Source organism: Homo sapiens, chromosome 5, assembly GCF_000001405.40.
Source record: "Homo sapiens chromosome 5, GRCh38.p14 Primary Assembly".
Lineage (NCBI taxonomy): Eukaryota > Metazoa > Chordata > Mammalia > Primates > Hominidae > Homo > Homo sapiens.
In genome coordinates, this window is record NC_000005.10 from 171184825 (window position 1) to 171209903 (window position 25079).

The window sequence follows — 25079 nt, forward strand, 5'->3', positions numbered from 1 at the left end:
TGTAATGTCATGATGTAGATACAATGTACATATCTTAATTTAAAATACTTTATTGCGGCCAGGTGCGGTGGCTCACACCTGTAATCCCAGCACTTTGGGAGGCTGAGGCGGGTGGATCACCTGAGGTCAGGAGTTCGAGACCAGCCTGACCAACATGGTGAAACCCTGTCTCTACGAAAAATACAAAATTAGCCAGGCATGGTGGCAAATACCTTGTAATCCCAGCTACTTGGGAGGCTAAGGCAGGAGAATTGCTTGAACCCAGGAGGTAGAGGTTGCAGTGAGTCGACATCGTGCCACTGCACTCCAGCCTGGGCAACAAGAACAGAACTCCATCTCAAAAAACAATAAAAATAAATAAAATATTTTATTGCTAAAAAATTCTAGCAAACATCTGAGCTTTCAGTGTGTTGTAATCTTTTTCCTGGTGGAAGGTCTGGCCTCGATATTGATGGCTGCTGACTGATCAAAGTAGTTGCCAAAGGTTGAGGTGGCTGTGGCAATTTCTTAAAAGAAGACGACAATGAAATTTGCTGCATCAATTGACTTCCTTTCACAAAAGATTTTTCTGTAGCATACAATGCTGTTTGTTAGCATTTGACCCACAGGAGAACTTCTTTAAAAACTGGAGTCAATCCTCTCAAACTCTGCTGCCACTTTATCAACTAAGGTTATGTCATATTCTAAATCTTTTGTTACTTCAACAATGTTCACAGCGTCTTTACCACAAGTAGATTCCATCTGAAGACACCACTTTTGGTCATCCAGAAGAAGCAACTCCTCATCCATTCAAGTTTTTTCATGAGACTGGAGCAATTCAGTCACATCTTCAGGCTCCACTTCTAATTATAGGTCTCTTGCTATTTAAATCACATCTGCAGTTACTTCCTGCCCTGAAGTCTTGAACCCCTCAGAGTCGTCCATGAGAGTTGGAATCAACTTCTTCCAAATTCCTGTTAATGTTGATATTATGACCTCCCCACTGAATAACAAATGTTCTTAGTGGTATCCAGAATGGTGAGTCCTTTCCAGAAGGTTTTCAATTTACTTTTCTCAGATTCATCAGAGGAATCACTATCTGTGGCAGCCTAGAGCCTTACAAAATCTTTTTTTCTGAGCAGTAGGCTTCAACAGTGGGCTTAAAATTTTCAGTAAACCATGCTGTAAACAGATGTGCTGTCATCCAGGCTTTGTTGCTCTATTTCTAGAGCACAGGCAGAGTAGATTTTAGCATAATTCTTAAGGACCCTAGGATTTTCAAAATGGCAAATGGGCACTGGCATCAACTTCAAGTCACCATCAGCATTAGCCCCTAATGAGAGAGTCAGCCTGGTGTTTGAAGCTTTGAAGCCAGACATTGACCTCTCCTCTGTAGCTATGAAAGTCCTAGATGGCATCTTCTTCCAATGAAAGGCTGTTTCATCTACATTGAAAATCTGTTTAGTGCAGCCACTTTCATCAATGGTCTTAGCTAGATCTTCAGTATAACTCACTGCAGCTTCTCCATCAGCACTTGGCTGCTTCACCTTGCACTCTTAGGTTATGGAGGCATCATCTTTCCTTAAACCTCATGAACCAACCTCTGCTAGCTTCCAACTTTTCTTCTGCAACTTCCTCACCTCTCAGCTTTCATAGAATAGAGTTAGGGCCTTGCTTCACATTAGGCTTTGGCTTAGGAAATGTTATCACTGGTATGATTTTCTTTTTTTTTTTTTTTTTTTTTTTTTTTTGAGACGGAGTCTCGCTCTGTCGCCCAGGCTGGAGTGCAGTGGTGCGATCTCGGCTCACTGCAAGCTCCGCCTCCCGGGTTCACGCCATTCTCCTGCCTCAGCCTCCCAAGTAGCTGGGACTACAGGCGCCCGCCACTACGCCCGGCTAATTTTTTGTATTTTTAGTAGAGACGGGGTTTCACCGTTTTAGCCGGGATGGTCTCGATCTCCTGACCTCGTGATCCGCCCGCCTCGGCCTCCCAACACTGGTATGATTTTCTATACAGACCAGTGAAACTTTCTTTATATCAGCAATAGGGTTGTTTCACTTTCTCATTGTGTGTTTTTGCTGGCATTTTAATTTAATCGCTTTAATTTTCTTCAATAATTTTTCCTTTGCATTCATCACCTGGCTAACTGGTGCAGGAGACCCAGCGTTTGACCTATTAAAGCTTTTGACATGTCTTTCTCACTAAGGTTAATCATTTCCAGCTTTTGATTTAAAGTGAGAGACGTGTAACTCTTCCTTTCACGTGAATACTTGGAGGCCATCACAGGGTTATTAATTGGCCTAATATCAATATTGTTGTGTCTCAGAAAATAGAGAGGCCTGAGAAGATGGAGAGATACAAAGGAATGGCCGGTTTGTGGAGCAGTCAGCATACATAATATTTATCAATTAAGTTGGCTACCCTGTAAGGGCACAATTTGTGGTGCCCCACAACAGTTACAATAATAACATCAAAGGGCACAGATTACCATAACAGATATAATAATAATGAAAAAAGTTTGAAATATTAGGAAAATTATCAAAATGTGGCCCAGAAACACGAAGTAGGTTCATGATGTTGGCAGAATGATGCCAATAGAATTGTTCGACTCAGGTTTGCCACAAATCTTTAATTTGTTTAAAAAAAAAAAAAGTGTGGTATCTGTGAAGCACAATAAAACAAGGTATGCCTGTCTATATACTTCAAAACATGTTGTATACAATAAATAACATAAAATTTTATCTGTAAATTTAAAAAATAATTAAAAATGCTAAATGTCGACTTTGGGTTGTAGCATGTAGGTAATTTTTTCTATTTCTGATCATTTGAATTTTTTTAGTGTATTACTTTTATAATGGTAAAAATTAACTTATTTTTAAAATTTGTTACTAAAAAGCTAAAGTTAGTGAGAAGTATTTACAGATAGGCAGTACCTTAGGATGGGTACTTAAGCTTCTTTGTAGTGACCATGTTACTCTAGACTCCCATTTCTCATATTTGAATACTGCAGGTTAGACCAGTTATACATGAGAGGGTTCAGTCAGTGGCAATATCATCCTTAGACAATACCAATAATACTTTTTTCTTTGTTTCTCTTGAAGTCTATTACTACATCAACTTAAATATGAATTTTTAAAAATGTGTTCATACAAACAGAAGAAAAATAATTTTTTTGCCCATAAAAGGCATTGAATTTTTAAATGGAAAGGGGACTACACCCCTCTATGTTTCTTGCTTTTTTTTCATGCTTTTCCACAGACTAAATCACCAGAAAGACAAACTGCCAAAAAGTTGAGAGACATGCAACTAGAATGATTAAAGAGCTTAGTGGGATTGATTTCTAAGGAAAGATTAAAAGAACCATGTATGTATAACTTGGCTAAGTGACAACTAGGGCTGGAGGCAAAGAGAACTATCTATAAATATTTGAAGAGCGTAAACCAGGCATGCAAAACCCAATCATCTGCTACCTTAGGCAAGTCGGAGATGTAACTGAGTGACAGCTTTTCGTACTGCATCCTGGCCTATTTTACCTCTTGGCTGCTGTGTTGGTGAGAAGAGGCGCAGCCCCAGACTGTGTCATTGCCCTTGACAATCATTTAGAAAGCACAGTGTGCTAAACTCTGAGGGCAAGACAAAGATGAATCAGGCATACTGGGTCCTGGCCTCAAGGAGCTTGTCTTCTTGCTTTCCCAGTTGTCCAAGCATTAAAGAGACCTTGAAACATTTGTCTGGACTTAATTTATTTCCCAGGCCTTAAAAATGCTCTTTTAATAACACGGTCACACAGAGTGAAAGAAGTGGGGAGACCAAAAAGAGAAGTATCTGGAGGAGAGTTTTTAAAACTAGGTCCGTGTCACTCACATTTTCAGAACCTGGAAATGGAATGGGTTAACATTTCCTTTTTGATATGGTCATCACAGATAGGGAACCCACTATGTATCTGTGGTAGGTTAAACAACAGGATAGCACTATCGGAGCCTGCACACAGCCCCAACTCTGTATTCTCAGTACTACTGTACTTATTACTGCATTGATAATTGATATTCATGATGATGCCCAGAAAGACATTGCACACTTTTTGGAAAGCAAATTTGCTCTTATTTAGTATTGCTTAATGTAAACTATGAGGTATGAGAAACTGAAATAAACACATATAATTTGAATAATTGGATTTTATTAGTTTACCCAGGATTCTATTCCTTTGAAATACTTAACCCATAACAGTATAAAGAATAAATTCACATTTTTAGTTCAAAGTTTTTTTTTAAATGTAAATATCTGTTGCATTACAAGCACTTTTTAGACACCTTGAGAGAAACAGAAAGAGGCTATGGTGGAAGTGCTTGGTGCATGGTAGGTGCTCAATATAAGTCAGTTGAATCTGGATATAAATAAAATTTAAAATCATAGTAGCTACCCTCATAGAACTTCCACATGTTTGAAAAGAAACTCCTTCCTTATTTATCAGTAATTTTTACTTTTTAAAATAATGAAATGTATGTGATAAGCATCAAGTTATGATTAAAAGCATCAAGTATGATTTGTTGTGTAAACTACCAGAGCTGCTTTCTGTTGTTAAAAACTGGAGTTATTCTTCTTCCCAAAATTATGTTGGGCACCTTCAAGGTATGGACTATCTTTTTTATATTTTTCTAGCACCAGTCAGGGTCTTTACATTGCAGATGCTCAGTAAATGCTTGTTGAATGAATGACAAACAAGTATACAGTAACCAAGACACCGTCATTGTGGCTCCTGGAATCAGCTCTGGCTGCCAGGTTCTTTCTGGAAGTAGCTCTGATCATTGGCCTCTCCCAAGACAAAACAAATCAAGTGGCTGATTACTTTCACAAGTGATTAGCTACACTTGGCCACTCTTGTGCCCGATTAGTCTCTTGTTGCTCTCTGTTCAGAGTGTTATTACTTTATAGACGATGATTTGTTGAGCGTTGTTGAACACAGTTTTTATTATTTGAAGCCTTGTCTCACAAACTAGGTTGACTGGAACATGGCTGTCAGAATTTCTGTATATATGGCTTGATAGTTTTCTATTGTGTGTTCATTGTCATGGAAACAAGGAAGAAAAAGATAGTGCTGTTGTCAAGAGCAGCATAGATTCATATATTAAATGAAAAAAATAAAAACATTAGATAATGAGGATCCTCCTCAAATTAAAAAAAAAAGACAAACTTTTTATATCACTGATTTTGGAGAGTGGGAGTGGGGATAAGAATCACAGAAAAAAAAACACCTACTTTCTTGCAAAAGTGTTGGATGTGATTCTTGGATGGAAATACAAAACATTCTAATTGAATCCTACAAAAATAAATTGAAAATGTCTTGTGTATAAGCCATGCACATTGGAGTGATTAGAAAGGGGGAAAGAAATTGGGTGTCACATTAATTGGTATTTACTTTGAAATGCATTTTGGTTTCTACTCAGTGATTTGCACTTTGTATGAATTTAATTAGATGCTATGTGCCCCAGGTTGTATTTCAGATGAAAATGGCGGCGGGGCAGGGGGTGGTTGGCAATAAACAGTTGTACCATTTTATCGGATTGCTTTAGCTAAACTAGACAAAATGTTCACTTGCATAAAGAACAGAATTGAAAGCATTTCATCATTAGAATAGTGGTGTTTCAAAACATGTGAGAGATGTTGGCAGGTTTTTTTGGTGTTCGAAGAAATGATCAAAATGAATGCAGAAAATCCCTTCACGTGCAGAAAAAAATGGATGACCAACCAGATGTGCATGTGTGTTAGCCCTTCCAAGAATCACTTCAAGTTCCCTAGGTTATTTAAAATTAACTTGGTCGATCTAATAAACTAAAGGAAAGATAGTATTACCCGAGCCAGTAAATGGAGACCCTCCAGGGAGCTATTCAGTATAAAATACTTGAATAAATAAAAATCTTCTATTTTGTTTCATTTGAATGCAGGTGAATTTAGTTGACAAATACTGAAGAGGGTAGGTGTGGCAAGGCACTATAACAACGCTTTTCATTTGGTGAAGAACCAAAATTATTATTTGCAAATTAAGTTTTTACCAGCCACAAATTTGGAAGTGCTCAGTGTCACCAATGGTTGATTTTTCCTTGGACATTTCATGATTGCATCTTATGTTGTACTACTTAGATGAGAAGCACGTGGATAGGATTTGAGTGAGCAATGCATTCCTCGGGTATTTAAACTCTAAGAAACAGTCATATTTTTAATTACTAGGGGGATACTAATATTAAAATGATGTTTATGGATGTAAAGAGATAGTTCTATCTTTAGGGGTGAGGGTAGCACAGTATCCATATACTTTGGCTTATAAGAGGTAATTGGCATCTGAAGATATCACTAGCTTAAATTTAAGAAATCTTGAATGACGAATGACTTGAATAACAAGGGAAGAGTATTCTAGAAATAGCTACTAAAGATAGAAATAAAAACACAGAGGAAGGAATTTTTTTCTTTATTAATAATAGTTAACATTTGTTTAAAAATATATAGTTTATAAACCACTTTCATAGGCATTTATCCTTTTTGATCCGCCTGCCCACATTAAATAGGTATTATTCCATTGTTTATCTGTTAGAAAACTGAGGTTCAGAGGCCGGGCGCAGTGGCTCACGCCTGTAATCCCAGGACTTTGGGAGGCCGAGGCAGGCGGATCACGAGGTAGGAGATCGAGACCATCCTGGCTAACATGGTGAAACCCTGTCTCTACTAAAAATACAAAAAATTAGCCAGGCGTCATGGCGGGTCTCTGTAGTCCCAGCTACTCGGGAGGCTGAGGCAGGAGAATGGCGTGAACCCCGGAGGCGGAGCTTGCAGTGAGCCGAGGTCGCGTCACTGCACTCCAACCTGGGCAACAGAGCGAGACTCCGTCTCAAAAAAAAAAAAAGAAAAGAAAACTGAGGTTCATAGAGATTAAATGACCTGCCCAAGGTCAGCCATGTATGTAGTGGCCCTCTGACCACATATTTTCATCCACTTTTACTAAACTATTACTTCATCTTTCACCTTATCAACCAGTGGAGAAATACAACTTTTTTCCTTCATTTTTATTTGAACTATTTGGTCCAAATGATTGATTTGGGGCTTGGGGGCAGTGAAAGAAAATGAGAAATGATTACTTTCTAAGCGTCTATGAAATAAACAGATAGATGCATGTTTATTGTTTGTTCTGTATAGGTATATTATAGTTTGATGGTGAGTGAAAGTCAAATGTAGTTTTTAAAATTTGTTCTTATGCCTAATAATTGGCCAAAGCGTATTTCTTCTCATGGATAAAGGAACACAGAGGTGGATATCTCAGGAAGGTTTAGCAAGTGAGGGGCTTGATCAGAAATAGCTGATAGATAGGAAGAATACATCAATGTATCAACTGTGTCCATGACTTGGCAGAGATTATCTGAAAAATAGACATGGGGGGATGGGGGAGTGGGCAGTAAGGGGTAAAGAAGCAGCTGGAAATACTTAAAATCTGTAATGAGATAATTAAGACTAATTAGCTGGCCCTGTAGGCAGAAAGCAGCCCATTAAGTCCAGATCCAGTTTTAATAACTTACCTGGTTTTGAGGCTAGACAGTCCAGAGCACCCCAGGGAATGAGATGTTTCATGGATGAGACTTTTAGGGTGGGATTCTTTGAAAATGGGTAGCTATAGTCTGCAGTGGGCAGTGTATTTTTTTTCCGGGAACTAAAATAAACACTCTGGTTCCCTAGGGAGAAGAATTAAAGGGCACCTCAGTTTTCTCTTCTGTTAAATGGAGAAAACTACGTAGAAGAGTTGTCATGTGGTTTAAATAAGATAAAGATACATAAAAAGGCCTAGAGCAATTCCTATCACAAAGCAAGTTCTTAGAAAATATTAAGAAACGTTTATTGAGTGCACTATTAGAAGAAGCATTGACTACTGCTGGGACCTCAAAATGAGGCAAGTTTGGCTCTCTTAATGCCATCTACTCTGCCTTCAATATTTAGGGCTATTATTTTCCTGTGGAAGTAAGATCTGATGACACTTCCCAACACATACTAAAATATCCTGACCTGCCTGAAGCCACAGGTCATTTCAAAACTAGCTAGCACTCCTAAGCAATTTAGAGGGAAACTGAAATGAAAAACAAATTGTGGCCCAAGTTTCAGGGGCCAGTTAAGCACATTTCTCAAAGTTTTACTGTAATATAACTTAGAAGTGGTATCTTAATGAAGCATTGGGAAATAGCAGATGATCTGGGCCTAGACCTGCAGAAGTCATCAGCTCTTCTGAGATTGCCCATTGTTACTTGGTTTTGAATGGTTTATTTTCTTCGCCCAGTGCCTATGTCTCCTTGTTTATCTCTCCTCTTAATTTTCCTTAGTTTGGACCAGAGCTTCATTACACCTACTTTCTTGCAAAAGTGTTGGATGTGATTCTTGGATGGAAATATAAAACATTCTAATTGCATCCTACAGAAATAAATTGAATATGTCTTGTATATAAGCCATGCACATTGCAGTGATTAGAAAGGGGGAAAGAAATTGGGTGTCACATTAATTGGTATTTACTTTGAAATGCATTTTGGTTTCTACTCAGTGATTTGCACTTTGTATGAATTTAATTAGATGCCATGTGCCCCAGGTTGTATTTCAGATGAAAATGGGGGGTGGGGGTGGTTGGCAATAAAGCTGACCTTTACTGACTATATTGGTTTTCTGTTATTATTGCTGTAACAAATTACCACAAGGTAGTAGCTTAAACGATACTAATGTATTATTTTATAATCCTGGAGGTCAGATGTCCAAATGGGTCTCAGGGAGCTAAAATCAAGGTGTCAGCAGGGCTCTAAGGAAGAATCTGTTCCTTTGCCTTTTGCGGCTTCTAGAGACCACCTGCTTTCCTTGGCTCATGGCCTCCCTTTCTCCAGCAGCGTCAGGCCAAATCCTTCCCATGCTGCCATCTTTGTGGTTCTTTGACTTCTGCTTCCCTCTTGCACTTTTAAGGACCCTTGTGATTACATTGGACCCACCTGGATAATCCAGAATACTTTTCTGTTTTAAAGTCAGTTGATTAGCAACTTTAATTTCCCTTTATCACATAACCTAATATACTTACAGGTTCCAAGAATTAGAACGGATATCTTTGAGAGGGTAATTATTCGTATTCTACCTGCCATATTGATTTATCACAATTGCCAAAGTGTTTCACACAGTACTTATACAGTAAATCCTCAGTAACTGTTGGCTACCATCATTTACAGTTATCATATCATTTCTATTACTTGCTTCTCCTTGCCCACTTCCCCCAACTCCCCAGTAATCCAGCTGCTATTTGCATTCAAATTTAAGGAAATTAGAAGTTTCACTGTTTTGTGTACATTTCGGAGGGGGAGCAAACCCAGATTTTTGTTGTTGGTATTATTGTTTTAGATTCACATGCCATAAAATTCACTTTTGTAAAGTACGTAATTCATTGGTATTTAGTATATTCAGAATATTCATAAAATTGTGCAGCCATCACCATTATCTAATTCTATAACATTTTCATCACCCCCCTCAAAAACCCTGTACCATTAAGTAATTGCTTCTCTTCTCCCCTCCCCCAAACCCTGGAAACCACTAATCTGTTTTCTGTCTGTATGGATTTGTCTATTCTGGACATTAATATAAATGGAATCATACAATTTGTGGCCTCTGTATCTGGCCTCTTCCACTTAGCATGTTTTCAAGGCACATTCATGTTTTGGCATGTATTAATACTTTGTTCCTTTTTATGGCTGAATAATATTCCGTAGTTTGGATGTGCCATATTTTGTTTAGCCATTCATTAGTTGATGAACATTTGAGTTTTTTCTACCTTTGGTTATTATGAAATAATACAGCTGTGAGCATTTGCATACAACTTTTTGTGTGGACAAATATTTACAGTTTTCTTGGGTAGATACCTAGGAGTAAAATTGTTGGGTCAACTGGCAACTCTAATTTTTTAAGCAACTGCCAAACTGTTTTCCACAGTGACTACACCATATTAACAATGGTTGTAGCATTTTACATTTCCACCCCTGGAGGTTTTAAATTGTACAAAATAATAAATGAAATGTCCTACAAACAAAATATCTGCCAGCCAACATACTAAAACAGTTACTCTTATATTTTAATGTGATGTCTCTGAAGGAAAAAAAATGTTTAGAACTTACAAAATGAATAACTTTCTGTTTAAACATATTCTCAGAGACACAGCGGAGGTGATTAGCTTTGGGTTTTACCTAAAAGCTAAGGAATTTATAATTTTTATCTATACATGACTGAGAACTTACAATGTTATGTTCACATTTACTTTTCCTGATGGCAATGAAAATATTAGTCTATAAATTGGCACTTTACCTTCAAATCATATTGGTTTCTGTACCTTTGTCTTATTAAGAAAAAAACTAACAGCTTCAATTATTATTCATAAAATAATCATATATACATTTGGAACACTAAATATATGACTACATACTTGAATATGAAGTTGTAAGAAAGTGAGCTCATGTTTTCTCCTTTTGCACCAGAAATAGTAAATGATACCTGTATGGTAATACAGATTAGAAAAATCTCTAATAGTAATGTTGTAAAAGTTGTTTGCATGATATAAACAACAATATCCAGTTCTCCAGCTTTGGTGGCACAACATTTCACGTTGCAATCACAGGAACAGTGCTGACTAAAAACGTAAACATTTCTATAGTATAATGCACCAATGTCTTATATTTGCCTACTTTAAACCCAAGTGATTGTCTAGGAATTCCATTTTCCTCACCAGAACCAAGCTGGCTGATCTTCACTCTCTTCTGACTTCATGCAGCTCCAAATTTAGGATTCTGTGACAATAACATTAGTCCCCATCTCTGATGCCTTCCACCTTATCAGAGACCTGGAAAAGCATGAGCTTGGGAGTAAAGCAGACCTGATTGGGAATCCTGGCTCGCTGACATTTACCAGCTGGAGGATGTTGGGCAGGCTATCTAATTCCTTTGAGTCTCTCTGCTCACATGTAAAATGAAGAAAATCGTACAACTTCATGAGATTGTTCTGAACAGTAATGACTTGCAACAGTACTTTGAAAACAGTAAGAGCCACATAAGTGTTTTTTAAGCAAATAAAGTACCAAATCCATTGCCTGCGTAAGCACTCAAGGAATAACAGCTGTTATTTAGTCAATCCACAAACATTTCTTGAGTGTCAGACCTTATTCAAGGCACTGGGGATACTCTGTGATGGAAATAGAACAATTTCCTTCCCAGGGAACTTACGTCCTAATAGGATAAACAACAAATGAATAAATATGTCAATGAATGGCCAGTATAGTAAGTCCCATAAGAAAAGTAAAGCAGGTTATGGGGTTGGAAAGTGATGTGGCGGGAGGGGAACTGTGATTACCATTTTAGATAGAGTGGTCAGGGAAGGCCTCTCTGAGGAAGTGACAGTTAAGTAGAATTGCTGTTCACATTACTGTATTTATAGTATTTGCTCCTTGACTTCTCCCTGCACATTTTGGTGGCTTGTCTCTTGTGCTCCTGCTATCCTTGTTTGCCTTAAAATTTGAATGGAGAAAGAGACGGAATCAGAAAGTTTTTTTATCTGTCGCTCAGAATATTAAGTTAGGAGTTGAAATGTTAAAAGTCTGAATTTGTCTTTGTTCTGAACAAGCATCCTTACCTTGGAAAACTTTGTTCCCAAAGGAAGGGCACTGGGCTGGCAATCTTGCAGTTATACTTTTTTTGATCACCGTAATCACCTCTCTAAGTCCATGTTAGACTCAAGACAACAATAGTGCTAATGGCTGTCATTTATTAAGTACCAGACACTGAGCAGGGGGATGGGGCGAGGGGGTGGTTACAGATGTTTTGTCATTTACTTAATTCTCATGGCTAACTTTATGAAGTAAATATTATGTCTCTTAATTACAGGTGAGCACACTAAGGCTTTGATGACTAAAGTGACTTTATCCAAAACCAGACAGCTAACAGTGGCAGAGCCAGGATTCAAGCATAGATAAACTTTTTTTTCTTTTTTTTAAGAGACGAGATCTCACTATGTTGCCCAGGTTGGTCTCAAACTCCTGGGCCCAGGGGATCCTCCTACCCCAGCTTCCAAGTAGGTAGGATTATAAGCATTCACCACTGCTCCCAGCTAAGCTTAGATAAACTTTGTAATTTCAAAGCATCCATTCTTTCTAGCACCATTACATGCCTGCAGTGGTAGTTACCACTGTTCTCATTAATAATTCCACATTTAGAAAATACTTTATCTTAGAAGAGTAAGATTACATGGCTTAAGTATAATGAGCATATATTTTATGTATTTAGGATTTGATAATGTATATTTCAATTATTTATTGTATTATTCTATGTCAAGTGTTAAGAAAATAAAGATGTTCTAAAATTCACCTTAATTGAGAAATTACTTTTTATCTAAACACAGTATTTCCCTAATAATGCCAGGCTCTATTCTGTGCTAATACTATAGTGCTAGTATCACCACTAATATTTATTGAGCATCTTCTGTTTTCCATGTATTATAACATTTAATCTTCACAGTGACCCTCAATGATAAGTATTTTTATACTTATTTTATAGATGAGGAAACTGAGACTCAGAGTAATTAGTAAAATATCCAAAGGTAAATAATATACGGTAAAGTCAGACACCTGGACCTGTTTACTGCCGAGCCCTACATAATTCTCCTTCACTGAGAAACTCAAAGATACACAGTCTCAGTGCCATAGAAGCTAATCCGAAGATACTATCAGCGTAAGCTAGTAGAGCTAGTAATTTACATGTATACTTTATAAATTTTATCTCATTTAGTTCCCGCAGTAACCCTGATCAGATGGTAGTTGTGGTATAATGTAAGTGGTATTATTGTTGCTATTATTAGATGTATGCTTAAATATCTGCAATTCAAGGCAGACCGGTACAATAGTTAAGAGCCAGGCGGCCGGGCGCTGTGGCTCACATCTGTAATCCCAGCAATTTGGGAGGCCGAGGCGGGCGGATCACGAGGTCAGGAGATCAAGACCATCCTGGCTAACACGGTGAAACCCCATCTCTACTAAAAATACAAAAAAATTAGCCGGGCGTTGTGGCAGGCGCCTGTAGTCCTAGCAACTCAGGAGGCTGAGGCAGGAGAATGGCGTGAACCTGAGAGGCAGAGCTTGCAGTGAGCCAAGATCGTGCCACTGCACTCCAGCCTGGATGACAGAGCAAGACTCCGTCTCAAAACAAGCCAGGCAAAATGCTATGGGAATCCAAAGGGAGAAGGGAGATAACTTGATTGGGATTTAGGAAAGCTTAGCTTAGACATTGGGAAAGATATTATTTCACCTGGGCCTTGAAAAATAACATCTGTATAGGTCTATGTTATCACCAGTTAACAGAGAAGAGTGTATCTAAGAGGAGTCACTTGGTCACACAGCCAGTTGACAGAGAAGAGATTATAATTTGGTCTGCCTTACTCTTTACTCAGGATACTGACCTTCGTTTAGAACGGCACACCAGTAAAGATTTGTTGGCCCTTTGGCATCTGTTTGTAACAAAGCTAAGTCCCCAATTCTGTTGTACTCCTGAAACAATGTGAAATTGAAGGAAAGAGATAAATCACAGAAGATTAGAGTCAGCCAGATCAGCCACTCCTTAAGAGTCAAAAGATCTTGATCCTGCCAGGACCTCCGTTACTTTGTCTGAAAAATGACTATAGATGCCAGTGTTTTTCGAACATTCACAGGCATCTGAATCATCTGGAGGGCCTATTAAAACAAAATTGCTGGGACCCACCCCCAGAGTTTCTGATTCAATAGATATGGGATGGAACCTGGGCATTTACATCTCACAAGTTCACAAGTGATGTTGATGCTCCCAGGTCAAGGACCAAACTTTGAGGACCTTCTCTGAGCTCATTTCCTCTCTAATACTCTATTGAAAAACTCTACTGTTAGAATAGAAATTAGGAGGTCTGAACCATGTCGTTCCACCTCCAACTAAGTATTCCACCTTAAGCAAGACACTTAACCTTTCTCTGCCTGTTTCTTCAGTAGAGTGCAGCTCGTAGCTCCCTGTGACTTAGGATGAATGAGTGAATTCAATCTCTCATTTAAAAGAAACCCCTTTTGAAAAAGAATACTATATAAATTATCAATTGTGCATATCCATGTGTGAAGTGAAGATTCTGCTTTGACAGAATCCTTGAGGAAACTGCAGTCTACCTTTAAAGTAAAAAGTTAATAGGAAATGTCTCTTTTCCCTCTTCTCTATTTAAAAAAAAAGAGAAAAAAAAGGAAGCTTAGTGTAAGAAGTGTACCCATGGAGAATGTATTTAAAATCCAAATGACCCATAAGGGACCCCATCCTTTTTGGCAGATAAAAGTTTCCCTGCCATTTATTTGATAAATTAATTAAAAAGAACATAAATAAAAGAGAATAATAACTTAGAGCTATCTGGGCACCTGAGTCTTTGAGCCCTTTAGGGCCTTGGCACCCAAAGAGAAGGGGGAAAAAAAAAACACTGCGTCTCTGAGGCTTTGAAAGTGGTCTTCCTTGAGGCATTAGAGAAGCTCTAGGGGCCCTAGGAGCTAAAGGACTGAGATGCCTGGGGCATGAGTCTATTAGATCCACTAAAGAACCAGGAAAAAAAAAATGGCTGGTAAGTAATTTTGCTATTTCATTTGATGCAAAAGAGAAGGCACAACACCAGAATATTCAGTGAGCAAAAGTACAAAATGTGGCATGGATGTGAATGCAGGCTGACCCCTTCTCGGGAATATTTCTAAGCCTAAATGAAGCACTCAATGCTGAGGACAATGTACAATTCTATGCATTTTAAACCGTAGTGACCCTTTTGTTTCTCTGATAGGTGAAGATGAGGATGAATTTGAGAATTTCATGCTGCCTCTTACAGTTGCTTTTGAAACAGTATTACAAATATTCAACAACAACTTTAAACAAGAAGATGTAAAGGTGGGTTTGTTTCCAAATATGAGGAATGACAGTTTTGTTTTTTCTAGGATATCTAGATCCAGAAAAGGGCTTTGCATATCTGTGTGTACTCTTTGCCTCCTCAGACCTGCTTTCCCAATTGCATGTCTTTAATTTTTACTTTTATTTAAGCATTTTTCTAGTTTCTTAGACAAATGGACTTTGAGGTCAGCAAATAGTTTTGGACAGTCAGTTCATGATAAGATGACATAGATTTGTTTCCTCTGGCAGTTACTATCTTTAATAGGATATTTCTTGTGGGTACACCACTTTAAACACCCCTATTCCCTCATCTATCCTGCACTGTTATGTTACAACAGATCTATATGGAGGAATGCACAAACATACACATACTAAAACACTACATCTCTAAATATTTTTTTAAACAAGAATTTATATAAATCAAGACTTTATTAAATGGCTAGGCATATATGTATAAATAGGAACTGGTCTTGAAGTATTGCATTCTTAAACGGAACAAAGTGATTAGGATAACTGATAGCTAAATAAGGTTTTTATGTGCCTGTGGGAGCCATATTAGGATTGATTTGACAAGTCAGTTCAGCTGTGGCAACAGTCATAATATCTAAGACAACATTATGTTTTATTAGTAAAATCCTTAAGTGTAGCAAGCTGTCTGTGACAAAACAGCCCCGTATTTTAAGGAGGGGGATGGGAAGCACAAGCACTGCTAAATAGAAATAGTATCTTCTGAAATTATAATGTATCAGGGAAATATTAAATAAATTGACACTGATTATTATTTTTAACAGACTAATAAATGCACTCCAGAGAATGTAGACACCTTTGTTGGTGATAATTGAGTCATATATTTCATAGTTATTTGAAGTATGTTGGAAATATTAACCATCTTTTGCATAGTGTCTCTTCACCAAAAAAAAGAAAACAAAAACAAAAAAACTAACAGTAAGAAGCCAAATAGAAAAATGACACCCTTTGATAATTATCTTTATGTAATTCTTCTACCAAAAAATAATCAGCCAAATGCTATACCTCTTAATTTAAAAGAATTTTTGAAATTAATGTTTATCAGCATGCTATAGTTATAGAATTTTAAAACCAAAAGAAGGATCTTACAGATTCTGTTTGTGTTTATAGTCTTCCTGAAATTCTTCACCAGAGTTTCCACTCAGGTTAGCTGTATCTTTTAGATGTCTTCCAAATATTTTCAGTGACCAACAAAATCTTTGCAGCTTTTAGGTTGCTATTTCTGCCCTTTATCAAAAAGGAGCAGTGAAGTTGAAAAACATCATCTTTATGAAAATTACATCTGTCTCATCTGAAGATTTCATTATATTCCAAGACCATTTTGTTGTAATCCCATCTAGTTTGATAGAAACCATCTTCCTAGAGTCATTTTTAATGGAGTTCCAGTGATATATCCCTAAACCAGCAAGTTCTTAACGACCCTGGAAAGTGACTGCTTGATTACACTTTAACGGTATTTGCAAATAAAATCACAAGTAATTAAGGGGAAATCTCCAGGCTTTTGAGCAAGTTTGATGCATGATAACTGCCTGATTCAGCTTCATCTAGAGTAATGCTGTGTAGGCAACAGCTACTGAGATCAATAGCAACGTAATGATAGTGGCAGAATTAAGTGAGTAACCTGAGAACTGTGCCTCAGAATGCATGCAGCTGCCACGAACCAAGGCCACACAGTGCACTCCGTGCTTCCGTCCTAAATGTTCATCAAAAGACGCCCTGCAGGAAAATGGAGTTAGATGCTCTTTATTGCTGATCGTGTCTCTTGCCACATTTATCAGGGAAATTGGATTAGCAGTTGGCAGCTGCAGGTAGACAAGATTCTGCAGTGATTAAATATGCAGCTTGGCTGCATTTGTTGTGACAGACCTTTAGTAAATTCTACTGTAAGCACCATCTGTCTAATTTGTATAAAGAAAACTTGGTGCTTTAAGCTACCGATAAAAAACTAAATCTGTTGCTTTATCATAAACAAAACTTTTGCACTAAATGCTTTTAAATGTAATTTATTAGGTTAAGGCTATTTTTCTATCACGATGAATAAATAATACATGCAAAAGTGCTTTCAGGTACTTCATTTTGCAAGTACTAGAGATAAAAACATTTCTGTTTTGTTCTTCAATAAAGTATTTAGTATTCCAATCCACAGGAGGTGATGCTGTTAAAATATCTCTATGAAAATGCCGCAGGACTGCCAAATTCATTTAATTTGCACCTCTTACCAGCATTTTCTAACTCCCTATTTATAGATAGTTTCAAATGCAGATTTCAGGATAAACTTAAACATTAAGGACCTGTGTTGCCAAATTGAAATACAGTTGTTAGAGGAGGAAATGCAGCAAAAGTGTTAAATTTATAGCTTTATTTTCTTACTTATTCTTAATAAAATTGAAGAAAACATTGAAATTTTGTCTTGGGTTTTTCTCTTCAAAGTAAAGGGGAAAAGGAAAAAATACTCTGACAAATCCTAGCTTTAGAGTACTCTTTCAAAACGTATGTTTCCCCCTATAATTATGTCCATGGTAAAATATAGTCCAGTACTCCCCTGACTCGTGCATCGTTTTTGATTTGGTCATGACATCATCAGTTTCAAGGAAAATGAATGAAAACTTCTCAGAGAAAGAGAAGCAGTTAAATAGGAACCTGCTATCTTTAGTCCTTTTGTAAAAACTCCACAATGTTAAATTATTTAAAATCCTTGATTTTCAGCATGCGCACATTAAAAGTTTTCGCACTAAGTGCCAAATGTTGCAAACAGCACTTTAACAGAATGATTTTGCTTTGATCCCTGTAGCAGTTCCTGAATAATTTATCACAGGTTATTGCCTTAATTCTGGAGAGGGATAGAGCAATAAAGGCAGATGAAAACACTCCAGTTGAAACACCTTGGGGCCTGCTCATTCCTCTGACACGGCTCTTTTGTTGGAACTATTTAGAGGTTATTAAGATGTGTCTTCAGAATTAAGAGTATGCTGTAAGGATGAAGACAGCCATCTTAATTCTAAAGACAAAGCACAATGACCCTTCACCTTCTTTTTCTTTGTTGTTATTATATAGTAGAATTATGAGGATAATATTATAGCTGCCCCCAGTAGTGCCACTACAGTAAAGGGTCTGTGAGACTTTCCATTAGAAACCCTGTTTTGGGGGTCAGGGTGGAAGGAGCCTCGTTTCAGCTGTTTCCCAGCCCATTCGTCTCACACTTGGCACACAGACAACTGTTCACCATGCAGCAGACTGAAGAACTCAGCAGTTTCTCCCTAACTACCCAAAAAGGAATCCATAGGGTTAGATCTCCAGACATATCCCACTCCCCAAAACAGCCTCACTAAAAATACAAGAGCCTGTCACTCTTCAGACCAATCTTGTGTTGACCAACTATAGGAGAGAGGCAACTTTTAAAATAAAACTCTTTGCACTATTTTAAATGAGATGGTAAACTGTAGCTCCTCCTTTCCTCAAATTCAATAAGATCACCTCTTACGCTCAAATTACTTAGTAGGCTGGTTGAGCTCTTAGTTAACAGCTTTCCTTTTTCATATGGGGGCTGGATATGTTTTGGCTATTGAGAAAACACTCTCTTTAGTGTTGTTTGTGTATCCATGTAGATTATTGCAGTATTATCTGCTGCTTTGAGATAAAAGATATTGTTTGAGCATAAGAAATCTATTTCTTATTCACATTAACACTGAATTTTTCTGTTCAGTTGAATTCATTTAAAACATTATTATATGCTTCCTCTGTAGTAACATTTTCTAGAATGAAACATTGATATAATTTCATAGCCACATTTTGCCACTTTAAAAAAAAAGCCAATAGATTTGAGTCCTATAGACCACTTCTATTAATTTGATATCGTTTAAGGAATGAAAAAATTGTGATAAAATAAAAATTAATATTTTTGTATAACGAGGATAGTCTAAAATATTTTTAGAGCCCTTTGTACTAGACACAAAGAAAGTAAAACTCATGGTTCTTGTTGACTAATTTAGACTTAAATGGTAGATATCTCATGTGTATGTGGAAGCTTAAAATTATTTGAAGCATAGCCTGAAACTTGTAAGTGTACCTAATAAAAATAGAACAAAAAGCCTACTTTAATAGAAACACTGCAAAGCCAAGGAGTCAGAATAGAATAGTTTGAAGAAGGCTTCTTAGAAGATGTATTTTGTTCTGGAGGCTTCCAGGAGTGTGAAAAGCTGAGAAAGAGAGGAACAGGCTTCAGGTGGTGAAAAAAGGCTATATAAAAAGGCAAAATGTTTAAAAACAAGCAGCAGGTTACATGAGGGAACTACAAGGAGGCCAGCTGGTTATAGAAAAATAAGAACTGGTGAGAGTATGAGAAAAAAAGGAGTAAGTAATTTAAAGGAGCAGAAACAAAAATTCAGAGTTTTCAAGATTCAGAAATTCAGATAACCATCATTCTGTGAACTGTTAGACAGTGCAGAAACTGAATATTCCTATAAATAACATCCAGTTATATTGAGTCATCTCTTAGGCAGAAAGAATGGAGAAGATGAGAAATTCTAGATACTTCTGAGAGTTAAACTATTATTTGCTACTTTGAAATTAAATTAATTGAATCAGCCATTAAGAGGAGGGTCAGGATTCACTGTTTGCTTAATAATAATTTGAACTCCTTCCTAAAGAGGTTTTCATTTATTACCAAAGTGTGAGAAAGGAGAAAATCTGGTAGAAAAAAAAGTTCAGAGACCATTTTCTAGCTGAGTATTTGCAATGAAACAGTATCTTTAGAAGTCACAGTTGTATATCTCAATTATCGCACCCCCTTGTTTTGTAATTATGTTTATTTGTGCTCTTTGTTCCGACATTCTAGCATCTGTTCATGGGTTTTCTTTTTCTCTTCCCAAGCATCAACCTAAGGACAGCTTAATTAAGAGTCCAGAGTACAAGTCAGATCTCTTCTATTCAAGAGTCAAGTTTTTGTTTTTTTTCTCTAAAACTAAATACTTATGGAACATTTACTGTGTATCAAGCTCTGCTAGGCATTTTCACATAAATTTATCACATTTATTTGGCACAGTGCCTCTGTGAGAAATGCATTATTAGCCCCTTTTATAGATGACAAAAGTAAGCCTGATAAATTGCCTTGCCTTAAGTTTTAAAGCTGGGATTCAAATTCGAGTCTTATGACATCAAATATAGAACTCTTTTCCTTACATCTTCCTCACTTGGGGAATGTGACTGCCATTCTGCGTATATCATAGTACATGTAGGTCACTTGGCCAGTTTTATTTTGTCCTGAAGTTATTAAGGATATTCATTAGGAATTTTTAAATGCCAGTGCCTTTCTAGGATAGACTCTAAATTATGTTGTGGGGCCGCTTGCATGCAAGCCGATGTTCAAGATTTGCTGTTATTAAATAATGTCTAGACCCTGTACATATCTGTTTTGTGTAATTATCAATCCTCATCTTTTTTTTCAGATTTGGCATTATTCAGAAACAAAGTATATTAAGACTCTAAATGCTTAGCTACACTACTGGAATTATGACTTAGCTAAATTTATAAGAAGTAAAGTGGAGTTGATCAGCAGATTTGATGGTCTGTTTAAAGAGTCTGTGCTTTTCTGTAGAAAGAGGTCTGAACGAGACATTTTAGCTAATGAATCAAAATCAGATATGTGGTCATTATTGCCTGATTATTACTCCATCTGCTCTGCGCTAACGTGAAAATCAATTACTGTGTCTCTTTCCCACTGACAGCGTATGTTGATCGGGCTGGCAAGAGATCTTCGAGGGATTGCCTTTGCACTGAACACAAAGACCAGCTACACCATGCTGTTTGACTGGATGTATCCTTATTACACTGTGACAATACCAGCTCTGTGCACAGAGGGATGCCAGGCCCCTCGCTTTCGTTTAATAGTATGGCACAGTAGGGAAGAGGAAACAAAGCTAAATGAACTAATGTGTAATCAGCTAAAAATTACAGCACAGTGGCAGCAGAGCAGATAACTGAGCACAGTATTTGGAGACCCAGCTCAGAGAAGTCACTTTTTTGGTGCCGTTAAATATTGATAACTTAAAAATGACTTCCCCCAAATGATTGTTTATGTTGGAGTTGAAGGGATAATCTGGCTAACATCTTTAGGGATCAATGAATCCTACCATTTGACATTTTTGAGGGGAGATTTGAATCTCCATCTCAATTAGCAAGGCTGGGAAGATCATTTTATCTCTTCAAGGCCTAACCCATCATGCCACAGTTTTTCATTATCATGAAGATAATGAATGGACATGGAAAGGGAAAAATAAATAAGTCAAGGTTTGTCATTTGGTGTAAAATTTGAATTGACCTTTGCCAAGGGTTAGTACAGACAGGAAAAAAAAAAAAAACCCCCCACAGAAATGCCTTATCATGTAAGAGTTAAAAGAGCATAGACTTTGGTGATAGACAGACCCGGCTTAAAATCCCAGCTCTTCATTTACTGTGTTGTGAACCTTGGCAAGTCATTTCACCTGTCTGAGTCTTGGTTTTCTCATTTGAAAACAGATACAATTCAGTATCATGGTATATTGTAACCATTAAAATAGGTAAAGTGTACTCTGTATAATGTCTGGCACATTTTTGGTAGTTGTAAATGGTCGTTAATATTGTTCTAATAGTGTTGTATGACTTATGTTTGATCCCAGCAGGAAGTGATATTGTATGCAAGTCATCTAAGTGTTATATAATGCTTTCATGTCTTTTATGCATGAAACCATCAGAGCATGTGAAAAAAATTATATAATCTGAAAGCTAATTTACTTTTTAATCTAAACTATTTCTCAGTTACTTTTTTTAAACCCTCCTTATCCAAAGTTTCCTGTAAATTAAATTGCAATAGAAACTTCTTAAAGGTAACTGTCAACTACTATGCCACAGTTATGGCCAAAAATATAACTAATAGGGGATCTAGGCATGTTTTAGGGAGAACTCTACATATTATAAAAATTTTTAAACATTAATTTGATACTGACATATCTTTAATTATTATTAAAATATACTTCATCAGATTTATGTACCCAGAGAAGGGTTACAGATAAAATTTTTATGTCATTGAGTAATCATGCACATGGTTTTTATCTACATATAATATGTACAGAGATTATGAAATTTCAACATGGAAAGTCTTAAAATTCTCTTAACAGTGACAGTTAAACTGGAATTATATATGACCCTTTTATTTCTGCCTTTTTTTTAATTTTTAAGATACGGGGTCTTGTATGTTGCTCAGGCTGGACTCAAACTCCTGGGCTCAAGCGATCCTCCCACCTCAGCCTCCTGACTAGCTGGGACTGTGGTGCTACAGGTGTGCTCCACTGCACCCAGCTTGACTCTTTTATTTCTCTAAACATAAAGAGCAACTCTCAAAATCAAAATTTTCATTATTTGAAAAATAATAAAAGTCTACTTTGGGCACTGTAATATCGATGGTGATCTTGAAACCAGTCTACAACTCTAGGCTATCTAGTGATTAACATTTCATGTTTTTCTCTTCAACAGTTTCAACCAAGAGTCAAGGTCAGAAACCTTCCCCTCAGTGTCAAAGAAGAACTATCTGCCGTAATTGATACTGCCCAAAATTTAGAGAAGATACTGTATTGTTTTCCATTTCCTTATTTAGCTCCTTTGGGGGTAGCGGGGGAACCTTTCTGAAATGAAACTTTTGTCCAGCAGATGGCAGAAAATAGCAAACGGAAAATCTTGGGACTTAATGTTTTCTTGTGAACTAGAAACCTTTGTCTCCTCCATTTGACCATAGATGTTGAAGTTATCAGGGTCAGGGGCGGAGAGAAGTGTCAGTTATGCCAGAAGCTGTGTTAGATTGCCAAATGGGGTGGTTTGGTACTGGCGTTGCTTATAATAATTGAGTTTCAGTAGCAAATCAGCTTCCTTGGGAAAAGGCCAAGGGCTTTTCATAATTGTATTGACAACAAAATGAATATGATAAATGGTGTTCATTCAGTTGAGACAAGATTTATAGTTTTCCTTTGGGCGAGGGATGAAGAGCAAATATTTATAATAATAGTAAAATTTGTTTAAAAGTTATATTATTTGATAATTCAAAAAGCTTTATTAAAATATTTTGAAATACTTTAAGCAGTTTCAGGTGATAAAGTACAGATTCTTTTCAAAGTATTCAAGTAATGCAAAAATGAATAAGTATGATAAAAAAATGCCATGGATATGAAAGTCATTTATTTTTCCTGAAATATTGATATGTCAAACCGTCAGTGATGATTTCCACATTACTGCTGGGGAAAGTTTATTTGCCTTTTATCCACATAAATGTGTGTTCTTTAATTTGTTATACAATCCTTAGCATGCAGAAGAAACATCCTGTAAGAGCACATGTCATCTTAAAGTCAAAATGCATTTTATTTATGGCGATTATTTGATAAAATGCTATTTTAGTGGTTAGCTATTTAATTCAAAAACATTTCTATAAACACTGACTGCATTAACTGCCACACAAACTACATTGCTTTTCACTCTGTCCTTCCAAAACTAAATTGCCTGAAACTACACAGCAACCATCTTGATAAATGGTTTCCAGGGCTGGAGAATTGAAGGAAGATCATTGACATACTTCTTTGCCCCTATGATGGGAATGCAACAATAAGAAAACACCTTAGCTTGCAGTGCATCTGATCTCCTTGTTTAAAATTTTCCTAGATCATACTTAAACTGAAGTATCAAAAATCCAGAGGGAAGTTGGGAAAAAAATTAAGAATTTGTATGACATTATTTCCTCATATGCAGTCTTTTAACTGTTAAAATCTGATCATTGAACTCACTGATTTTTAATCAGGAAGTCAGTGCTGTTATACAGTGGCAAGGCAAGATAACAAGATACATAGAGGAGCACAAACTTTGGAATAGGACAGTCCTAGATTCCAGTCCTGGATTCACCACTTAAACTGTGGGTCTTGAGTAAGCTACTTAATATCCCAGAATCACAATTTCGCTTTCCATAAAACAAGACTAATAAAACCTATCTCACAGGTATGTTGTAAGAAGTGTCATGATTCTGTGATTATGTAAAGGGCCCAGTACAGTGGCTGACATAAAGTAAATACTCTACAGCTGTTGTTAGTTCTGTTCCCTGATACATAATGAGACAAAGGAATCCCATTTGCTCACTTATTCAGCAAAGTGGGCTAAGGGCTGTGCTAGGTTCATGAGGAGTATAGATACTACCCCAAACAAAGTCAGTTTCTTATTTACATAAATTACTATAATCAAATATAGAAAGTGCTAAGAACCATAACAAAGATACAAACAGGACAGTGAGTGCATTTAGCTGGGGAATCAGGAAGGGCTCTCTGGAAAGGTGAAGGTGTTTCCTTGGGTCTTAACCAAATAAGTAGGATTGGACCATATGGAAATAGGAAGAAATACAGGTTTTCGGTTGGCCTAGGCATCAGGTTTAGGGAGTCAGTAGTGAAGATGTTTTGTTACATATACCACTCATTTCATGGTTGGAAATGTAGTTTGTTTGGGACTCTTGAATATCAGTCTAAGGAATTTAGACCCTTATTCCATAGGTAGTATAAAGAAACTAATGGTTTTGATTGACTAAGAAAATCAGAATTGTTTTCAAGAAGAAAGTAATTGGCAGTATCATTTTGGGCAAACTGAAATAGAGAAGAAAGTAAAGCTGAAAATTCACTGTTCAGCAAGCTATTTTTTTTTAGTTTTATTTCTGTGCCAGACAAAAGGAATGAAAGAATGAATAAAATGATTGCTCTTTAGAAGCCCACTCTCTAGTTGATCACACATGACTAATAAACAATAAAATGTCAGTGCGTTATAACAGAGATGCATGCAAAGGGCTATATGAGCATGTATGGGAAAAAGAGCAGTGCTTTTTGCAAGATATAGAAAGCTTCTCAAGAGAAGTGAAAGTTGAGCAAAGCCTTGAAAGATGGATAGGCATTTGCCAGACATAAGAGGAAAGGCTTCCAGCAGCAGTCCCCTTGTGAACAAAGGTCCAGATGTTTACATATTCATGGAGTACCTTTAAGCTCTGAACTGGCAAGCTATTTCTATTCTGGAACCACATCCCCAAACCCTTGTCTCCTAACACTTTTAATGAA

The 25079-nt window shown here is 36.9% G+C and overlaps 1 protein-coding gene across 16 annotated transcripts in view, besides 1 other annotated feature; it reads left to right on the forward strand.

The window, feature by feature from the left end:
• The window catches only part of RANBP17 (RAN binding protein 17), a 437998-nt gene that overhangs the window by 322807 nt on the left and 90112 nt on the right, over positions 1–25079 (forward strand). For 13 of the 16 annotated variants that reach the window (XR_007058628.1, XM_011534627.2, NM_022897.5 and 10 more), the window contains 2 exons: positions 14846–14949; positions 20700–20788. Coding sequence is in view for 15 of the 16 variants with exons in the window: in XM_011534627.2 (XP_011532929.1) it covers positions 14846–14949; positions 20700–20788 (193 nt within the window). In the remaining variant the exon portion in view is untranslated. Of the gene's footprint in view, positions 1–14845; positions 14950–20699; positions 20789–21798; positions 23080–25079 lie in introns of those variants that run through there. The other 3 variants (XM_047417531.1, XM_047417532.1, XM_017009744.2) reach the window with 2 other exon arrangements.
• Positions 16162–18190: an enhancer, noted in NCBI's record as "VISTA enhancer hs278". NCBI's record gives its function as "enhancer in: hindbrain (rhombencephalon)[6/11] | melanocytes[10/11]" and the evidence as "EXISTENCE:transgenic organism evidence [ECO:0001131][PMID:17130149]".